The sequence below is a fragment of the Homo sapiens genome, chromosome 5 (genome assembly GCF_000001405.40).
Source record: "Homo sapiens chromosome 5, GRCh38.p14 Primary Assembly".
NCBI classification, from domain to species: Eukaryota; Metazoa; Chordata; class Mammalia; order Primates; family Hominidae; genus Homo; species Homo sapiens.
The window spans coordinates 117,742,720-117,764,428 of record NC_000005.10 but is presented as its reverse complement, the minus strand read 5'-3'; the positions used below and the strand labels follow the sequence as shown (position 1 = coordinate 117,764,428).

Genomic DNA, 21,709 nt, shown 5'->3' with positions numbered 1-21,709 from the left:
TCATTTAATTCAATTTGCTAATACAGGCATTCCTTGTTATCTGAATCTAGCCCAATCCTGCAAATGAGTTGAATACCAAGTTTTTAAATAACAGGAGTCTTGTTCTATTATTTTAACTGTAAAAAATAATTCATTCCCAAGCCATTTCAAAATCCCAACCAATTTTTCCTCAGATACTAAGAAAACACCCTTAAACACTTACATAATAATTCACTGAGAATTCCCTTATTGTATGATATATTCAAGACATCAATTGTCAATTCAATAAACACATGAAAGGGCATATTTGTAAGTAATATACATAAAAATCCTGCATAAGAATGCAGTGAAAGAACATTAACTATAAATTATATTTTGAGTTGACAAGGGAAAAATAAAGACTTAGAGACATCATGAAAATTCACCTGAGTTGGTTGCTAGTTAAGGCAGAGAAACCCTCACCCAACAAAGAAGGCTTAGTCCCTGTGAGATGGGGTTTTCAGGAAAAGGAGCTAGTACAGGATTTTTATAAAGCCAAAAACCTAAACAACTGTAAGTGAAATTACTAGTGGATTTCAATGAAGTTGTATGATTGGCTGAGTCCAGATGGCCCAGGTAAGTCATACACTGCAATCGCAATGTAACCATCAGACTATTTCTCTGAACAGACTAGTTTTCTAAGAAGAGCACCTGTATTCTTCCTGCTGAAGTCGTGACTACTTTCCATCTGGCAGTACCATGTAATTCCAGGCTACGGGCTCTCAACAGTTCTAATTCCAGACTTTCTCACCTTATGTACTCTAATGAATATATTCCATATTGTAAGTGAAAGTTACAATATCATGTTAAGAATACTTAATAAATACAAACAACACTTAGCAAAATAAACTCACAAGGCAAAAAAATGACTACTTGCCAATGAAAGACTATGTGAGTGAAATTTGCGGATGAGGAAATGAAGATGAAAACTTGTAGCTATTTATTTTAGTGGGGTTGGCGTGAGTGAGAATTATTTGGTGAAAGAATGAAACATTTCATGTCCAAGACTTGGCCTGGTCTAAGTCCAAAGAATTAGAAGATGGCCTTCAGTTCTTAGCATTTAAAATTCCAGAAGTGGATGGAGATATTATGTGAGGCTAAACACAAAGTAATGGGATCAGAAAAAACAAAACGAAACAAAATCCAAATAAACATGTTTAAGTACCACTTGCTTGTGGTTATACAGTGTCTGATAACATGAGATAAGATTTGTAACTGTGTGTATTTTGCTACCTTTTGTTGAAGTATATACAGAAAAGTATACAGAATATAATTTTATTGCCTAATACATTTCACAAACTAAGCACCTTCAAAAACCAATGTCTAGATCTAGGAAGGAAACATTACTCACACTCCCATTAAGAAACAGAAACATACCTGCACATCCCCAAGCTAGAAGTACTCCTAGTTAGTGCCTAACCCATCACTAACTCTAAAGAGGGCAAGCCCTATCTGATTTTGTAATTAAAATGAATGCTGCTATTCATTCATATCATGAAGGTTTGCATAGCAATCACTTTTAGAGTGATCTAAACAATAATAAAACAAGCTAATCATGTGAAGGCTGTATAAAAACGTTTCAGTCACATGACCAAGCTTCAGAAGAGACTCTAGGGTTTGCGCATGTTCAGGAAATTAAGGACAAAGAAAACAGACCCGGGTGAATTAAGGGGATGAGATACGAGAGAAACAGAGATGTGTCTAGAGGTCAGGCCACCTAGCACTTTATGGGCCAAGCAAAGACTTCCTGAGATTCATGTTAAGAACTCTGCCTCTGGGCTCATTCTATTATTTTGAGCGGGGTGGTAATGGAGGGGTTTTTTTATGATATTGTCTCTTAAACTTTTTTTCTTAACATATCAATATATTTGGCATACAGAGGAAATTGAAAGCTGATGAAATCGCTATGTTATTTTAAAGGTTCCTTTTTTCTCTTCCTTTGCCTATGACTTTTTAAAAGATAGGACTTATTGCATTCTCTTTTATCTATTCTCATTTTTATTTATTTGGGTTTATTTTGTAGATTTAGAGAAACAGAGGTAGTGTTCTCAAGCATCATGCCCCCCTCTTACTATGAAGGTTCCAGTTATTTTTTGAATGAGAAATAAATATATGAATCAAAACCATCTAAATCATTATTGCCTCCCTGTGAATTTTTCAATGGTTAATTTCAAAATAAGTTATATAATTGAACATATTTTTCTAAATGCAGACACACCTCTTACTGCTGAAAAAGCCAAAAAAAAAAAAAAAAAAAAAAGAATTTTCTAGCCAACAAATGTCAAAGTATGCTGAAACAGAAGTTGAGGTTAACTAGGTTATTTCTTGGGCAAATTTCTACATAAAAACTGAATTAAGGAGAGGAAAAGTGTTGCGATAAGAAAAATGGATGTTGACAATTGGCATGAAAACACACAAAGCCACTGCAGGGGAGAAGCAGAAGCTGTGTCAAATTTACTTTCATGTTTGTATTTGTTTACATAAATCCAAGGAAAGAGATAGCGCATGTTTCACTAGAACTCTCACCTTTGTGGTCTGCACAATAATTAACTAGTGTGAAAAGTAGGAAAAATATGTGTGTATGTAATCAATAAAAACTATATTACTGCGGTGGGAGTTTATAGGAGACAAAAAAATGTGAAGCTCAACCTATCCATTACTTTCTAAACTTAACAACTCTAATAAGCAACAGGAGAAAGGTAGAGAGTTGGACAGTTTGATTTGCTTATGTTGTAACAATAAAATATAACAGCATTGAGTTTTTACTCTATAAAATATTACAAATATATGCCTGACCACATTACTGCATCAGATTTCTCTTAACCAATACATGAGCTCTTCCCAGTCTCTGATCATCTTTCTATACCCAATGCTAGCCTAGATTTAGAGAGAAAGACAGGAGCTGAATGAAATGTCAAGGAGGCCAAGGCAGCTAGCAATGTCAGGGCAGAGTACAAGAGAGGAGAGGGCCTTACAGAGAGAGCTCTGGAGAGCAACAGAGTACTCCCCCAGGTCTTCCGTTGAGAACTGGTCAGCAGGATTGCTCAGCAAATTGGTTGTTTCTAAACCACTCTCTTAACCACTGTGAGGTTAACCCACAGAAATACAGAGCAGAGCTAAGGTCTTTCATCTGCATTTAGATACTCTAGTCCCTCTTTTTATTTCCCGATTAAGTAAGCATTATTATGAATTACTTTTCACCAGTTCAGATTTTAAACTTGCTATCTTTTAGAAGAAACCTCCAGCACCCGGTGTTCATCAGAGGGTCACTGGAACCCAGAAAATTAGACCTTCTCTTTTTCATCAGTGCTGCACAATGAATAAAATAGAAATAGAGTATATAGGCAGACCCATCCACACTAGACTAGCCTTTTTTGTCATCTAGTAAAACTCTGTGTCCTCAAATATATTAAAAATAAGCATAGAATTGCATAGCTACATCATCAGTTTATTAATAAATTTAAAAAAACAAATCATTTACTTTAAATTTTCACTATTGATATCTCTTGTAAATGAAGAGTAAAACCAGACGGTTTTTTTTTTTATTTTAAGGACAATTATATCGAATAATCAGAGAGTCAAAAAAGATTTCATAGAAAGAACAACAAACAGATTTGAAAAGACTGGCTTATAGTAAAAGTTTTGCCAAATTCTATCATCGGAGTCATAATTTCTCTTGTTTGAAATTCCTCACTTGTAAAAAATACGCGTGCAAGAATAATCTAAAAGATTCAGCATTATAATCTCATGAGTTTTAAGCTATCTGAAACAATTTTCAAGAGACAAATCTAACATGTAGTCTCAGAGTTTTCAGTATTTACTTTCACCAGATACCTTATTTTAAAAATGTTCTTATTTCTTGACCTTTTCCTTCAGATAAATTGTATTAGATTAACACAAATCATTTTATTGAAAAATGTCTACAACTACTCCAAACTTAGACATTGATCTAAAGGAAAAATGAATTTGGAATCATTTAAGATATTTTACAAACTTACCATTTAGTTTTGTCTTTTTCTCGACTTCTAAATTATCTGACTTTCTGGAAACCACATCTGTCAGTTTTATAAACATAGGAAGGAAGACTTTTATTATGATTAGGCAGTTACGCCTTCCCCATGAGGTAATCTCAAAAAACATCTACTCTCATGAAAGTAAAAGTTCAAAGAGATCTGGAAAATTTTCTGATAAACATCCTCTGTATTTCATGTTTTAATCATGATGCAGCTTTTATGCTTGGTAATTATTCAGACAATTCTAATGACAGAATCACGGGTTTGTATAATACAGAGATAAATAAAAGTTTTCACAGATTAGCCCATGAACCACCCCCCCAACAGGAAAACATTCAGATTTGTTCCACCCTATGAAAATGCATGCAGGCATCATCAACTCTTCCAGCCTACGCAAGCCATGAATATTCCAGCAAGGAGATGTAAAGCCCTCCTCTCCCCCAGTAGCCCATTTACCACACAATCACATATGTGTGAATAATAATATAATCTCTTAAACTCTATCCCATCAATATCTTTAAACACTTTGAATCTAAGATTAGAAAGTCCTGAGATTTTCACTTACAGTGAAAATGTCTTCTTACTAAATAACACAAATCCATCTACTTTTAGAGGATTAAAAAAAAAAGTTTGCTGTTTTTTTAAGAGATTTCTACTATATTCTTTTAAAATTTCTATTTTCTTCTTTCATTATTTACCTGTTTCTTCCCTAAAATTCCTTCCCATTGACAATTTCTTTCTTAAAATATCAACGTAAGAACGTACACGTAGAGTAAGAGGGTGAACCAATCCATGTCTGGGGGCCCAAACTCTGTTCATTAATTTATATCTGAGGGCAAACTTCCCTCAGGCCAAAGGCATTAACCTTGGGTGAGACCTTAACACCTTTCTACTCCCTTCACCTGGCATGCCTTCTTTTGCCACCACTGCTGGTAGTGAGGCCAACAGGGCTCAATTTTGGACCTGAAGTTGGAAGGATCCCCTGCTAACTTTTTGAAGCGTGAGGCAGATATAATATCAACAATCTGTGGGACACTATTGAAGAATGCAATATTGTAAATGACAATTAAACACTCAACTTAGCCTGCAAATATCCATCTAGCTAATAGTGGTACTTAAAGGTGAGAACATAAGACATTTAAATAGGCTTTACCTCTACTGAGTAATAACATGAATTTCAAGGTCTGGCAGGCTTGGTTTCAAATAAGGATTCTTTCTGGTTTTCTGACTTCAGGCAAGACACTAAATATCTATAAGTCTTGGCTCCTAATTTATGAAATGAGTGTAACAACTGTATCCTCTTCACTGGGAGGGATAAATGAGATAATGTATGTTGAACATATAATATTTAGCATAACTTCTCAGAAAATGCTAGTTATTAGTATCACTATTTATAGGTACATGAAGTTCAGTTCATGAAGTCAGATAGTGTGTCCCCAGTAGTAAAGAGGACACAGAGCATTACACATAGTATGTGCTTCATAGGTATGTGCTGAATTTAAATGACTGTATTCTAATCACTGTTTCTTAAATTATTGTCATGAAAATTCTATTTCATATTCAAAATAAACTTACAAATCAAACTCTGATTTCCAATTTATGAATACACTGCGTAGACTATGGTATTTTCATGTTTCCTTAATATTCTGATAGGACATCAACATTACAAAATACTATCTATGTATGCGTATGTCCCTTCAACCACACACTTGTTTTGTTACAAGATCAATCAGTGGTATGGAGAATAAAAGTTTGGTGTTTCACATGAAGAACATATAATAACATTAAAAAGCAAGAAATAAAGAATGGGTAGAAAGAAATACTTCTCTGCATAAAGCTGAATTAGTGCCTGTAACTAGTTCCCAAAATAAATTATTGAAGCAAATAGTTTACTGTGATTCCAAAAAGCATTAGGCTTAATGAGGCAAAAGTTTGAAAGCGGCTTGCAAATTTACACCTATGGATTTTTCAAAGGAAAATAAGATTTGCCTAAGAAAGTGCTTATTTTGGCAGGCAGAGAAAACAGTGGTGAAAAATTATGGGTTTGTCTCAAAAGCTAAGTTGATTTTGCCTTTTTAAACTGGCTTCAATTAGTTCCATATTTTAAATTTGGTACTGGAAACAAGCTGAGACATTGGTGGACAGAAATAGAAATGGCCACTGCTCTGTAAGCAAAGAACCAGAAATTTCGAATAAATTCTGAGATGATATAAATCTCAGAATTCTCAAATGAATAAATTCTCACCTATTTTGCAAAGAAAGAATTTAGAAAACAGCAGGCAAATAAACCAATATTTATATATCCTACACAAAGGAACATTCAAATGAGGTCAGATTCAGCCCACTGCTTTCTACAGGACAACGAGCTCCACAGTGATGGTTGGTAACTTGCCACTGGCAAGAATCACTACATTTTGGAGTGCTTAACACAAAGTGTTGGGCATCATATTATGTATTTTGCATACATGATTATATTAATTTTTACAAACTTAAGAGGCAACTGTTTGCCCTTTTTTATTTCTTACCAGATGAGGAAGCTAAAATTTAAAGTCAAATTATCTAATGCCATACAGCTACTAGAGAAAAGCAAAAATAAAACTAAGTAATCTGACCTCAAAGACTATTCATTTTATCACTCTTAAGAACCTACAGAGCAATCATCAAAGAAAGATATCTTTTGGTATACTATTATTAACAATTTCCTTTTACATTATTTTTAGAGTATGAATCCTATTGTCCATGACAAATTAATATAAAAACTTTCTAAATATATATGAGTTTAACATATAATGATCACAAAAAATCTTATCTGTGTACCTAAATATAAGTTGTTTTGTAATGTGGACCTTAATCACAGGAGCCCGCTGCCAATTTCCTTGCCAGTACATTATTTCATGTTCTTCAGGCCTGATAGAATATTAAGGGTCAAAGAAATGTCTGAGAGTGTCAACCTTCTGATTTTTAGCCCTGGTGACCTATTTGTTTGTTATTATTATTAAACTTTCAGAAGAAAAATGAAATTTCTTTTTGCCAATGTTGTCTTCTCCCTCATGATATTGTGAAGTCATCTACCCAAGGGAATTAATGGGAAATTAGCTTTAATAACTACAATAGAATCTGCCTTTCACTAGGCACTCACTGTGTATCAGGGACTTTATGTATATTATCTCATATACTCATAGTAACTTTACATATTTTAATCTCTCATTTGGTAAATATGGAAATATTTCAAGTTAAGTGATTTGCTTAAATACATACATCCAGGGTGTCTGATTTAAAAAATAAAACCAGATCTGTGGGACTTCAAAATCGAGTGTCTACCATTATCCCAAATTACTTCTTACATACCAATTAGAGTTGATTTTCTGCTTCTAAACTGACATTATGTGTATTTAGACAAATGGAAATAACAAGGTTCATTTAAACACAAGAACCAACAGAACATATTAAAATCAAAAGTATGAGCTTCACAAAGCCCAAATATTATTACCACCATCATTTTAGTGCTAAATAAAATGTTAAACTTTGGTATTAATATTAATAAAATATTCAGCATGATTTATATAGTGTTCAAGACTGTGAGTTCACATTGAGCTTTTCTATTACTCCAGCAACAACCATAAAGCAGGTAACAACCACCATTTTACAATAAAGTCTAAAAATAATTAATAATTCTTGTATGACTACGCCAAATTGGTTAAGGAGCAGAGCCCAAACATAAACTTAAGTATTATCACTTCAGATTCACTGGTTGAAATAATCATGCTTTGTGATTCTTCCGTAAAATACATTAGTAGACTTTATGCAACATTAGTGAACAATTTCAGTGTGAGCTTTAGATCCAATAGATCTTGGCTCTAACTTTGGTTGTGGTATTTTATAGAAAAATTAATGTGGGAAAATCATTTAATCTTTCTGGGACTGTTTCCTCATCTGTAAATGGCAAGTTAATAACAACTATGAAATAGGGTTGTTTTGAGGAGTAATCACAAAAGAACCCTAGAATGGTTTTTGACAATACATAAATTTTTCACCACTAGTTTCTCTATTCCAAAATTTATAACAGACATTTTCTGGTGGAAAACAAAACAAAAGTGTTTTCTATAATTTAGATTACTATTAGGTACAAGATACAAACAAAATAAAAGTAAACTTTTAATGCACTAGTTTGTTCCTTAACTCTTACAATCTTTTCACTTTTCATTTATTTTCAATTTTCCTTCTGGTTCTCATTAATTTGGATTAATTATAATAATTTCTGTTCTCATTATTACCATTAGAAACACAACACGTTGTGTCAAAGTCAGTAATCTTTATTCTTTAGATTTGACCAAGAGTCACGATCCTGGATTTAGAAGGCAGCATAACCGTCTTCAGATGGTGCTCATGCCACAGCTTCCATGGCTTCCATATTTACTCCTTTGTCTTGATAAGAGTGGAAAATTGATTTTTATTATAGAGCTTAATAGATGTAACATTGAAGTTACATGGAAAGTCAATTTATGTAGTAACTAAGGGTTATTTAATCTCGGCCTTTTGGCACATCATTCAGTAGGAAGAGGCCTACAGCCCCAGATTATCCTGACTTGACTCCTTGTATTTTCACTAGTCCTTGTTCCATATCCACCAGCTGATTATGGCATGCTCAGAAACCACAATTTAGACATGATAATTTTCTATGTAAAAATCTTCAGGTCTCCCCATTTCCATTAGAAGAAAAATGGTCCATATTCTTTAGCACAAGTAAAGTCTCTTATGATCTGACCCTCAAGTACTCTCTTATTCCATCACTGTCAAATACACAACTTATGTGGAGGCCAGATTTAAATGCTGCTGTTACCAGAGCTTGCCTAGGATTTATTTATAATCCCATCTGATAAGCCCCTTCCTCCTTTCATATTAAAATTCTCTTTAATTTTCCTGGCAAAGATTAACTGTTAATTCCTTCAAGGAAAGTCCACTGATAATTTTTCCCTTCTCCTAATACCCGCAATACTTCATTTATAATGTTTATCTCATACATTTACCTCACACATTGGATGATATGTGTGAGAAGCATTATACGCTGTTCTAAGTTATGAGTTCCTTGGAAGCTTAACTTTGCTTTATCTATTTCTATGGCTACCTCAATGCCAAATATAGTAATTATTTAATAGCTGTTAAAGCATTATCCAGTTATCTAGGCTATAAAAAAGAAAAAAACCTGGGAGAGAAAGATAGCTACAATTACCTCCTCAGAAAAGCAAATACCAGTGTCCATTATAGAGGGGTAAGAAAAAAAACAAGATTTTGTTCATTATGGTCTTTAGATTCATTCGGGCATGTGAACACAAATGCTTTTTCCAGCAGTGCATGATTAACCCAGAAACCAGAGCGGCATCCTGGCAGCAAAGGCGTTCCGTTTTTTATGACCCACTTTTCTATCTTGTCATGCATCCTTCATTATGTTCAACATTCTTGTCAGCAAAGATCATCAATGCATGGGCTGCAGTTGAAGTTGAAGCCCATCCTATATTTTTTTCACCTCTCCATCTTACTCAAAAATAATTCAGTGGAAGGGGCATCACTTATACCTTTGAGGTTACAGATGTATCACTACTGAAACAAATGCTAAGGACAAAGATACAGAGGCTAGCACAGCAAGTCACTGCTATTGCACCATCTTGAAGGAAAATCTGGGGTTTCTAGGTAACAATGTGTATGATTTGCCTTTCAGTTTTTTGTTTGTTCATTTTTTTACCTCCACATGGTAGTTTAAATTGTCGATTTCTCAAAAGCGTTTGAGATATTTGTAGTTAAAAAAAAATCATTTATAGTGGACAATGGTGAGGGTGGCAAAAGGAAGCAGAATGTATACCAGGAGATTAACAAACCGCATTTCTCTGTATTTAGCTAATCTGAACACTTAGACTGTAAAATATAGGATTTTCCTTAGATTATTTCTAAAGTCTAGATTTAAACAAATTAAATTCTCTAATGATGGTTTCTATATCTTTATCACAACACATTATTGCTCAACTGGGAAGAAATAAAAAAATAAAATGATAGCTTCAGAAATGTCTACTAATTATAACGGACTATTATAAGAGCTTTTTGTATATTTACTCATGTAAACTTCACAACAACCCTATTAGGTAAGTTCATTGTTATTCCATTTCACAGATTCAAAAACTGAAGTACAGTGTAATTTATCCAGGTTCACATTTGGGCAAGGGCTAGGATACAAAACGTGACTCCATAGTAGAAAGTGCTCCAAAGCTTTGCTACTGAAAGTGTGGCTCACAGTCTGGAAGCATCAGCATCAAAGGGGAGCTTGTTAGCAATGAAGCTTCTCGGTTTACATATACTACAGTTTCTTTATCCACTCATTGGTTGATGGGCACCTAGGTTGGTTCCATATCTTTGCAATTATGAATCGCACTGCTATAAACATGCGTGTGCATGTCTTTTTCATGTAAGGACTTCTTTTCCTTTGGGTGGATACCCAGTAATGAGATTGCTGGATTCAATGGTAGTTCTACTTTTAGTTCTTTAAGGATTCTACATACTGTTTTCCATAGTGGTTGTGCTAGTTTACATTCCCACTAGCAGTGCAGAAGTGTTCCCTTTTCCCAACATCCCTGCCAACATCTATTGGTTTTTGACTATTTAATTATACTACTCAGCCATAAAAAGGAATGAAATAATGTCTTTTGCAGCAACTTAGATGGAGCTAGAGTCCATTATTCTAAGTGAACTCAGAACTAAGTGGATTGAATTCCTAACTGAGAAATGGAAAACTAAATAGTATATGTTCTCACTTATAAGTGGGAGCTAAGCTATGAGGACACAAAAGCATAAGAATGATATAGTGGACTTTGGGGATTTGGGGGTAGAGATTGATAGGCGGGTGAGGGATAAAATAGTACATTTTAGGTACAGCGTACACTGCTTGGGTGATGGGTGCACCATAATCTCAAAAATCACCACTGAAGAATTTATCCATGTAACCAAAAACCACTTGTACCGCAAAACCCATTGAAATGGAAATAAAAAAAGAAAAATAAAGAAATAAAGATTCTAAGCCCCTGTCCCTTCAGACCTACTCTCCAAGTAATTCACAGATATATTAAAGTTTGAGAAGCACTGGTCTAAAGCACCAAACTTCATTGCCTTGAGCCTCCATATTTTACTGCCTTCTAACAAACATTCAAAGAACATGCACCAGAAAAAAGGCTTCATGTTTTATTTTATTTATTTATTTTATTTTTTTATTTTTTTTGAGACGGAGTCTCGCCCTGTCACCCAGGCTGGAGTGCAGTGGCACCATCTTGGCTCACTGCAAGCTCCGCCTCCCGGATTCATGTCATTCTCCTGCCTCAGCCTCCTGAGTAGCTGGGACGACAGGTGCCCGCCACCACACCCAGCTAATTTTTTGTATTTTTAGTAGAGACGGGGTTTCACTGTGTTAGCCAGGATGGTCTCGATCTCCTGACCTCGTGATCCGCCCGCCTCAGCCTCCCAAAGTGCTGGGATTACAGGCATGAGCCACCACTCCCGGCCAAGGCTTTGTGTTTTATAGTCACCTTGAAATGATATGTTTCTCCAAATTCAAGATGACTCTTCATATTACATTAAATAATGAAGACAAATAATGATGGAAGTAATTTCCTGACCCCACTCAGTGATAGATGGAGAGTGATATTTTTCAGATTTGTTTTCATTAGCGCTATCTTCAGTAATTCAAATTAAAAATCAATATTACAACAAATTTTCTCCATTTATTGTTATGAGCTGGCATCAATGTTTTCTGCATGAATCAGCAAATAACATTTTGTTTTTTATAAGATAGAGTTTATTTTACACATAAGGTTTAATAAAAAAATTGGTTTTCTTCATTTTTCTGAATTTGAATTAAAATATCACTTAGGTCTCTACTCAATGAAATACTGGAAATAAAATGCACACACCTAATCTATTACTATTAAACAGCTACTGAAAACTTCGTTTAGTATATTATCTAACTTCTTCAAAAACAGTGGTAACTCTTGTAAAAATAGAATGGTTTATTAAAGGGAATCATATTTTGATTATGTGAGTTTATTTCTTGAAACTTGTTATTTTCAGTTACCAGTTCAGATAAACTTACCAATAGACCAGAAATATCTCCATATATACAATGAGAGCCATAAAATAGGTTTTTATTAAATTTCTTCTGAGAACTTAAAATCTATATTCAGCATCTTTAAAAAGACAATCATATCAAGCAATGGAGACTCATCTCTAAAATAGCTGCTGTACAAAGCATTTACATCAGGCTAACTCCCTCATAGACAACATTTTAACATCTAAATATGTTTTGTAAAGATTACTTTCTAATTAAGGTAAATTTTGTTGAAATTTTCCATTTAGTCTTTGCCATATATCCTAAAATAAACTTGTTCATACTTTTAATGAATCTATTTATATCTACTTTTATGTGATTATCACTATGGATAATATTTATACTTACTGAGGCTGAAGCAGTAGGATCACTTGAGCCCAGGAGCTTGACACTGCAGTGAGCTATGATCATGCCACTACACTCTTGGCTGGGTGAAAGAGCAAGAGGCCATCTCTAAAAAACAAACAAACATGGCCAGGCACGGTGGCTCACACCTGTAATCCCAGCACTTTGGGAGGCCGAGGCAGGTGGATCACCCTGCGGTCAGGAGTTCAAGACCAGCCTGACCAACACAGTGAAACCCCACCTCTACTAAATACAAAAAAATTAGCTGGGCGTGGTGGCGCATGCCTGTAATTCCAGCTACTTGGGAGGCTGAGGCAGGAGAATCACCTGAACCTAGGAGGCAGAAGTTGTAGTGAGCCAAGATTGTGCCACTGCACTCCAGCCTGGGCAACAAGAGTGAAACTCTGTCTCAAGAAATAATAATAACAAAATAAATAAATAAATAAAAATAAAATTACATATTTTTAGTTATATATTTTTATTATTAATCATGAAATGTTTATACTGTTAATATTTTCCAAGGAAAATATGTCTAATGAACAACTTAGAACTAGTATAATATTTATTATTAAAAGTTGCTAATAGCCTTGTGTTAACTACTTTAACAAACCTGAATGATGTGGAAACTTATTTCGGAATAAAGTTATTCAGAACACATAAAAACAATATATTCAAATGTACAGAGGTCACAAGCCCAAGCATTATCTTTAAATACGTTTGATGTGTTTTACTCTTCTTGAATATTTCAGCATGGAAGCTGCACAAATGTATTTAAAAAAAAAAAAAAAAAAGCCTAAGAACTTAAAACTAAAGTGCTCATAAGGCGAAAGAGAGGATTCTATTGAGCTTTAAAAGAAGAATGAACTTCAACTTCATGTTATTTTTCAAAGATATTCTTGACTGAATGAGTAGGGTGCTAATTGCCTGGTGCAGGTGAAAGAATATTGAGTGGTAAATCTTCTTTAGCCATTAACTTCTACGGCCTTCTGCAGTATTTCTTACCAAAGTTCTCTCTTGAAAACTCCTTATCTGAAAACAATATTGGCAAAACTAAACCCCATCCTCTAAAGCATCTATGGATTTTTGAATAACTCTAGGTTGTTAAAATGGATAATTAATATAAATAAATTTGAGATTAAGGAAAAACAACTCAATTTCTAAAATTGGTTAAGGACATGAACAGGAAATTCACACAGACACACACACACACACCCTTACACATACGTTAAAATAATGAATACGATTTTGTAAACATACCCTAAATTATTTATAACTAAGAAACTGCACCTTAAAAAATTGTAATAATAACTTTTATCTCAGTTTAGAAAATATTAGAAAGCTTACCATAGCTAGTGTTGGTAAGCATTGGTAGAAATAAAAAAACCATACATTTTTGATGGGAGTGTAAATTGGTACTGTCTTTGTGAAAAAAATATTTTAGTGTTATCTACTAAAATATTAAATGCACATGCCCTTAATCTAGCAATTTTATTTCCATTAACACACTCTACAAAAGATTGAAAACATACTTAATATTATATGTATAAATCACCAATGGCTATTACTAATATTAAAAAGCTGGAATGAATGAGATAAATCTAAGTATAACGATATATAAAAAATTATTCAAGTCATTAAACAGAAAAGTCAACAAATATCAAATAGAATGATTTCATTGCTATTAAAATTACTATTAAGCTTTATATATGTATACCAATATATAGGTAGATAAAGATAGAAATAGATGCTCTTGACCCCGAACAACACAAGTTTGAACTGTGTGTGTCCATTTATCCTGGAATTTACTTCTGCCTCTGCCACCCTGAGACAGCAAGACCAATCCCTTGTCAGCGTACTCAATGTGAAGACGGTGAGGATGAAGACCTTCATGGTGATCCACCTCCACTTAATAAATAGTAAATATATTCTTTCTTATAATATTCTTAGTAACATTTTATTTTCTCTAGCTTACTTTATTGTAAGAATACAACTTCGCTTCTGGGCAACAGTAGGGTATTCATAGTTATGTTTCTGGGGAGTCAAAAGTTATACAGATTTTCAACTGCATGGGGAGGGGGCTGTGTGTTTAGGTAACTCTAAACCCCATGTTTTTCAAGGGTGTCAACTGTACATACTTGATTATGTTTATAAAGTTTATTGAAAGAAACACAAAATAAATTTAAAAGTGCTTACATTCGCGAGTAGGACTGCTGGAGACAGACAGCAGAGGACTTTGTTTCTTGCTCTATACTACTCTGCTGCTTGATTTGATTTGATTTTTTGAAATATCCATATAGGGTATAAGAAAAACATGATAGAATAGTGATAAGTTTTACAAAATTTATGTGCACCCATAAACCCTTTCCCTACTTCCCTTATTAAAATCCTTTAATGATGCTGCAGTGCCATGAAGATAAAAACCTTGGAAATTAGTTTAAAAGAAGATGAATAATTCAATAGAAACTAAAGGGAATGATGCAGATGAGCAGGCAGTTACTGAAATAAATATACAAATAGATAATAAACGCAAAAATAGTTTAAGTCACTCTATTACCCCCAAAATAAAGTTAAATGAAAGAACAGCAGCATGCCTTGGCATGATCTTCAAGGCACGTTTTCAAAGCCACCTGTGTGTTACCTCCATCATTATCACATCAACGTTCATGCAGCCGGTTATTTGTCTTCCTTGACTACACACGGTGCATCTTTGAGGTCATAGACCATATGTTTGTTTTTGTTTTTATTTTGTTTTTCTAACCCTGGCACCTCTTATAGATTCCTTGCACATAGCAGGACAGTTAATAAATTATTTTTGAATGAATGATTTTTTTTAATAAATTGCATAAAATGAATGGCAAAAGGAAAGATGCTCTTTATTTTGGAAAATGTTATTGAGAGGAAAATGATTCACAATTATGTCAAATTCTGATGTACTTCATGTTTTAGGAAGCCGAAAATTATTGCTCCTTGTTCAGTGTCCACAAATTCTTATGTAATATCTATAATTAAATAATGGTATATAATGCGTACCTTTCTTTCTCCATTATATTGTGAGATACTTAATAGCTAGGTCTTGTTTCTATATCCGCAATGTCTGGTAAGACAACCATCAAATAAGAGACATTTATTCATATGTGCTGATAATACAGAAGTTATTAGGAAATAATTTTTAGGCAACTAGAAAGGGTCAAAGTTCTCCATGGAATTTTCCTTTAGTAAAAAGCAGCCCTAAACCATTTCTTCTCTTACAGAAAGCAACCTGATAACTTAGGCATAGATATGCAAACTAGAAGCTTTTATATGTAAATGCAGGCAGCTGTACCTGGAAGCCAGGTAAATTCAATATGGTGTCTCCTGCCCTCTTTTTGTTGTCGCTACTCGTACCAGGTGTCATGGCAGCCTCCAGATAAACCCACATGTACAGGCCTCATGGCGACCAGCCAGGTGGAGGCTACATTCTCATAATAAAAGACTAGGGTGGGAGGGCCAGTCTTTTCGCTGGCTACGTAAAAGACACACCTGGTGGATCCAATCCCCTGAGCCCTGTGTAAATCAATCACCTCCTCCTCAAGCCCCTGTAGAAAATCAATTGCCTTCCACCACAAACTAGAGACCCTCTTTTGGGTGACCCACTTTCTCAATATGAGGAATCCTTTTTTCTCTCTCCTCTTTTTCTATTAAATTTTCTGCTCCTAAAACTCACTCCCATGTGCATCAATGTCTGGAATTCTTTCTCAACTGAGACCAAAAACCAGGGTATATACCCCAGACAACAGAGCCGTTTCACTAAGTTGAACAGAATTATACAAATGCCTCTCCTAAATTCAAGAAGGCCAACAAAAGTATTAGTTGACCATTCATTCACCTCAATGTTTCAATAGCATAGTAATTACTTTGTTTACTTTAAGGTATTATTCTTAAGATACGGCACTTAAGGTACATTAATCATATATGCAATCTGTGATATTTCATATAATAAAAATGTATTTTTCATTTTATGTAACTTAGAGAATAATTTTACTTTTTAATAACTAGAAGTTTATAGCTATTGAGTCCTTAATAACATGATTAGGTGAGAACAATAATTTGATTACAAATTTTTAATGTCGTAAACTTCATATTTCGTGTTGCTCAATGGAAGAGCAAGTATTTTTGCCAATTCATTTCATAATTTGATTTCAACTCATGTATACATCTAAAAAGGGTGTTAGTAGACCCAGCAATAATAGCAAAGATTCATGTAGCTGTCACCAGTGGACTGGTATTTCTAAGCACTTGACACTTCTTGACTTTTCTGGGGGGTGGGGAGTCTCACTCTGTCACCCAGGTTGGAGTACACTGGCATGATCTTGGCTCACTGCAACCTCACCTCCTGGTTCAAACGATTGTCCTGCCTCAGCCTCTTGAGTAGCTGGGACTTCAGGCACACATCATCACACTGGCTGATTTTCACCATGTTGGCCAGGAAGGTCTCGAACTCCTGACCTGAAGTGATAAACCCGTCTCAGCTTCTCAAAGTGCTGGGATTACAGGCGTGAGCCCTTGTGTCTGGCCCCTATTGACTTTTATCATCTCAATTTTATAAATGGGGAACTGAATCGCAAAGAAGTTCAATAACTAGCTAAAGTTTATAGAGCTAGTAAATGGCAGAATCCAAATTTGAATCTAGGAACTTTGACTCTGGAGTCTATACTCTTAATCACTGCACAAGATTTTCTCCTTAAAAGCCTAGGTAGCAAAGAGTTCTTATAATGTCAGGAATATGTAGTATGTGACATTACACAGTGTTCTAAGTTGGCCACGTTTAGACAGGTTGTCAGTGCATACAACACACACACACACACACACACACACACACACACACACACAGAGACAAACATAGTATGTCAGGAGACGCATCAGTTTTTTTTTCCCCCATGGCCTCGTCATCATATACCCACATACAATTCTGCCGAATTTTAAAATCAAGACAGTATGCCAGGCTACAGAGTATAATAAACATGCCCACTACTGCTTGCCATTTGGTCATTGGCATCAATCACCTAGAAACCTGTTAGCAATGAAGAATATCAGGTTCAACCCCAAACCACCTGAATCAGAATTTTTATTCAAACAAAATCCTCAGTGTTGGGACACAGTTCTCCATGGGTATCTCATACTTCATGTCTTCTGAAAGTCTGAAGGCATTGACAGCTTTTGTTTTCAAGGATGTTTGTATAGCAAATGGTCTCAAAAGAAAGACATGGTATCTCACTGCAAAGCAGAGGACAGATTCATTTGCTGACCAAGGTAATAAAAATAATGTTTCCCATTGGAGGAAAGGCAGAAAAGAGCTTTATGTAACTTGTTTAAAGATTGGACTTTCCTACATTTGAAGTTCCTCAACAGTGATACAAACCTACTGCGTACTCAGCATGTACTTGAGGAGTAAGGGGAAGCAATGGTAATGTAAGCATCATTCTGCCTTCTGTGTCGTGAGTAATAGGTTATCTCTGGACCACAAACCTCATGTATTCTGCCAAAATACATGAAACTGTGGGAGGCTAACTTAGTTTGCAGGTAAGGGAAAATCTCAATCTCTACTCTTGTTGACAACTGGTGATTTGTATTCACATTAAAGTTTGATAAGGCCTCAGCCTACTTCATTTCAAATGAGCAAATAAATAAGCATGAGAGAGACATACTTAAATGCAAACCTATATAGGCACTGTTTTCAAAAAGAGCTCCACATGTTCGGAATTGCTGACATAAGAATGAGGTAGCCATACAGTTGGATAGTCAGTTCTGCCAAAAGAAAAATCAGTTCCAAAATAAAACTATTTTTGGGGGGGGAAAAAAAAAAAGAAAATCTACTACTTCAACTTGTCCACCACAAGCATAAATTCACAACTTAAAAAAATATATAATTTCTTGGATTTGGGGTACTAGGTACATGGTCTGAAGTCAGAATAGTGCCTTAAGAACCATTCATGTACAATACCCACTCCCCATTCACTGGAAGAAACATGATAGCCATGTACACTAACCTGTGTACAACTTTTCATTAAGGAAAGCTTTTGTATTGAAGAAAAGATGCAAAAGAAAAACACATTTATTTTCAAAGCAAATTATTTAATTTTGTGACAAAACACTATTGCCATGTTGTGGCTTGTCTGAAAGAATTCAGATGTCAAAATGCGATGTGATATTGTACCCCAAGAACAATCATTTGATTAAGATGTTTTTATAAGTCTTATTCTCTTATTCTACCACCATGTTTCCGCTTTATAATTACAAGTCCATTTGGTGTTTCATATCTGGCCTCTTAATTACAACAACTCTCATAAAAAATAGTTCTTAACTTGTTTCATTTTCTAGTTTATATGCTATAAATAGCACTGATATTGAGTATGACACAGAATTCAATATAAAATATTTGCCTTGAATTAAAAATATTACCTATTTTACACTTGTATGGTGGTTCTCAATTTTGGCTGCATGTTTAAAATACTTGGGAAGTTTTTAAAAAGCCTGATGATGCCCAGACCACACCCAAATCAATTACCTCAGAATTTCATGCGGTCCAAGCATCAGAACATTTTTTACTTTTCTCATTGATTCCAACATGCAGCTCAGTGAAAACCACTACAGTTGGATGTAATCTTCAGGAAGCTAGGTTTTTTTTTGTTTTTTTTTTTTAATGATAAGATCCAAATTTCTATAACAGTGCTTAGCAGTCAATAAATATTTGTGGATATATATACTGTAATTTAAAGATGTATTTGTTACTTTACAATCTTTTTGAGCCATTTATTTCCAACATTAGGTGGTCATATTTTGGGGGAATAAACAAATAGAGATAGAAAATACCTGGGACCATTTCACTAGTACAAACAAAAGGATTTTATGAAGCTTTGAACTTGGTCAAAATGTGTGTCAATTTGTAGACAAAAATCTGCTATGAAATTAAGTAGAAAAGCATAGGACACACTTCTATTTAAATCAATTAAATCAATTCAATGACTTCAAGGAAAATAAATGATCCCTATGCAACTACGTGAATAAAGTCTGATAACCACTCATTGTAAGTATATGCAACAACTGAATAGACTTTGTAATGTCCTCTGTCCCTGCCTCATTTTTGTCTCGCATTATTTTGATTTTCTTCTCACTTCTGTTGGTTTGCTGTTTTTTATGTGCTTCTATGGTATTTTAAATTTATTTTGGAATAAATGATGAATGAATAGAACTGACAACTGATATATGAAAAAATTATTTAAATTTGAAGGAAGAATTTAAGAAACAGATTATTAACCTTTGGTTTATAATACATTTAGTGCAACCCTTAATGCTACTATTTTTTCCAAATTTCATCTTTCCTAATTTCAAACGAATGTGTTCTTTATCCTGCATCCTTTGGAGTGCTTTTCTCCCAGATTCTTAGGCCAGAGCAAAGACATTTTAGAAAGAGGAACCAATCAACATAAGACAGGCTAGGAGACCAGACCTCCCCTTAGGGATGCTATAGACGGGATGTCCACATGGCTGGAAAGTTGGAATATTCACTTCTGATGTCCCTTTTAAGTAATAGACGTGGTGATTCTCCTGGTAACTTTTTATTTCCCTAGGTTATATATGGATATAATTCCTAGAAAAAGAAAGAATTGTCTAAAGGTCTGTGTGCCACGTGACTGAAGTAAACCAGGTACATCTATCAGTGGGTAGATGATGCTTCAGCTACCTCAAAAAGTGATTGGGATGTAGGAGCTAAAAAAAATTGGATCTCATGGAGGTTGAGACTGGAATGGTGGTTACCAGAAGCTGGGAAGTGATGGGCAGGAAGAAGAGAAGTTGGCTAATGGTTACAGAAACATTGTAGGATAGAAGGAACAAGTTCTAGTATCTAATAGTACGGTAGAAAAATTTAACAAAAACTTACTCTATGTCCAAAATAGCTAGAACAGGAGAATTGTGATATCCCCAACACAAAGAAAAGGTAAATGTTTGAAGTGATGGATATTGCAATTACCCTGATTTGATCATTACACATTGCATACATGTATCAAAATATCACAAGTATGCCAAAAATATGTACAACTAGGATTCATCTATAAGCATAAAACTAAACAAAAACTGTGATTGGGAATGAAAAATGCTTATTCAAGAAAAGAGGCTGAAACTTAACACTATTAAAATTCGTATGTACAGTCTGAAATAATGTATTTTAATGTTCAAGGTCGGCAGTGAGAGTTGTTTTAATAGAAATACAAACCAGGTGCATTTCAATTCTAAGAAATGAGGCCACGTGCCACTACACTTACCGGTTCCCTTATCTGGGCCAAATAATCCCCACCTGCTGAGCTAATGCTAAATTAGATCTCAAGATAGTTTCTGTTGTTGTTCTGAAGAACCCAGACCAGGAGGTCAGGGTGCTGTGTAACAACAGTGGCTGTGGCCTCATGTTAGCTTTGAGCCTGAGTTCTGTGGCTAAGTTCTTCCCTCAAAAATAAGACCATGTAACTCCTCCTAGCACTTTGTCTTATTCCTGCCGTTCTTCTATACCTAGAATACCATCCATGGGCAAAAGCCTTCCTTCCCAAGCTCAACCCGATTGGCCTCCTGCTTGCCAGTTTCACCTCATAATGTTTACATATGTATCATTTGTAATATTACAATGTAAGAATTTGTAACAAATTTATGAATTTTAAATCCAAGTATTCAAAAATATTTAAATTGCAACTTCCTTTATCTTTTTCTGTTCTACTCCATTGGAAAATATTAATATCTTAGTAAGTTTTAGGTGAATTCAGTTATTAAATATTTACACTTGATCAATTCAGTTTTTTTCCTCCTTGCTTTTTACTAGGATGATATTTAGATTCCACAGGCTTATACAATGATTGAATTGGGGAGAATATGGGGAGAGAGGTGAATTGTTCTTTTATACCATTTAAAGGGTTATTGATAGGCTTGAGATAAAGTATGTAAAACACTAGCATCATTTCTAATGCATGATAGATGCTCTAGAAAGATAAACATCATTTTCTTAACTCTAGATGTTAATTCTTATTTAGACTGAAATAAAAAAATTTGAAAAAATTTTCATCCCATATTCCTGATTCCACACATAAACGGGTAGCTTCACCATCACTTTCCACCTTTCTAGATGTACTCAAAATAAATCCTTCCACATTCCTCCTTCCTCCTGCGA

At 34.6% G+C, this 21,709-nt stretch overlaps 1 long non-coding RNA gene across 1 annotated transcript in view; it reads right to left on the bottom strand.

Moving 5' to 3' along the window:
* Window positions 1–21,709, bottom strand: part of LINC02147 (long intergenic non-protein coding RNA 2147) — a 535,702-nt gene that overhangs the window by 501,634 nt on the left and 12,359 nt on the right. The gene's annotated exons all lie outside the window — the stretch shown is intronic.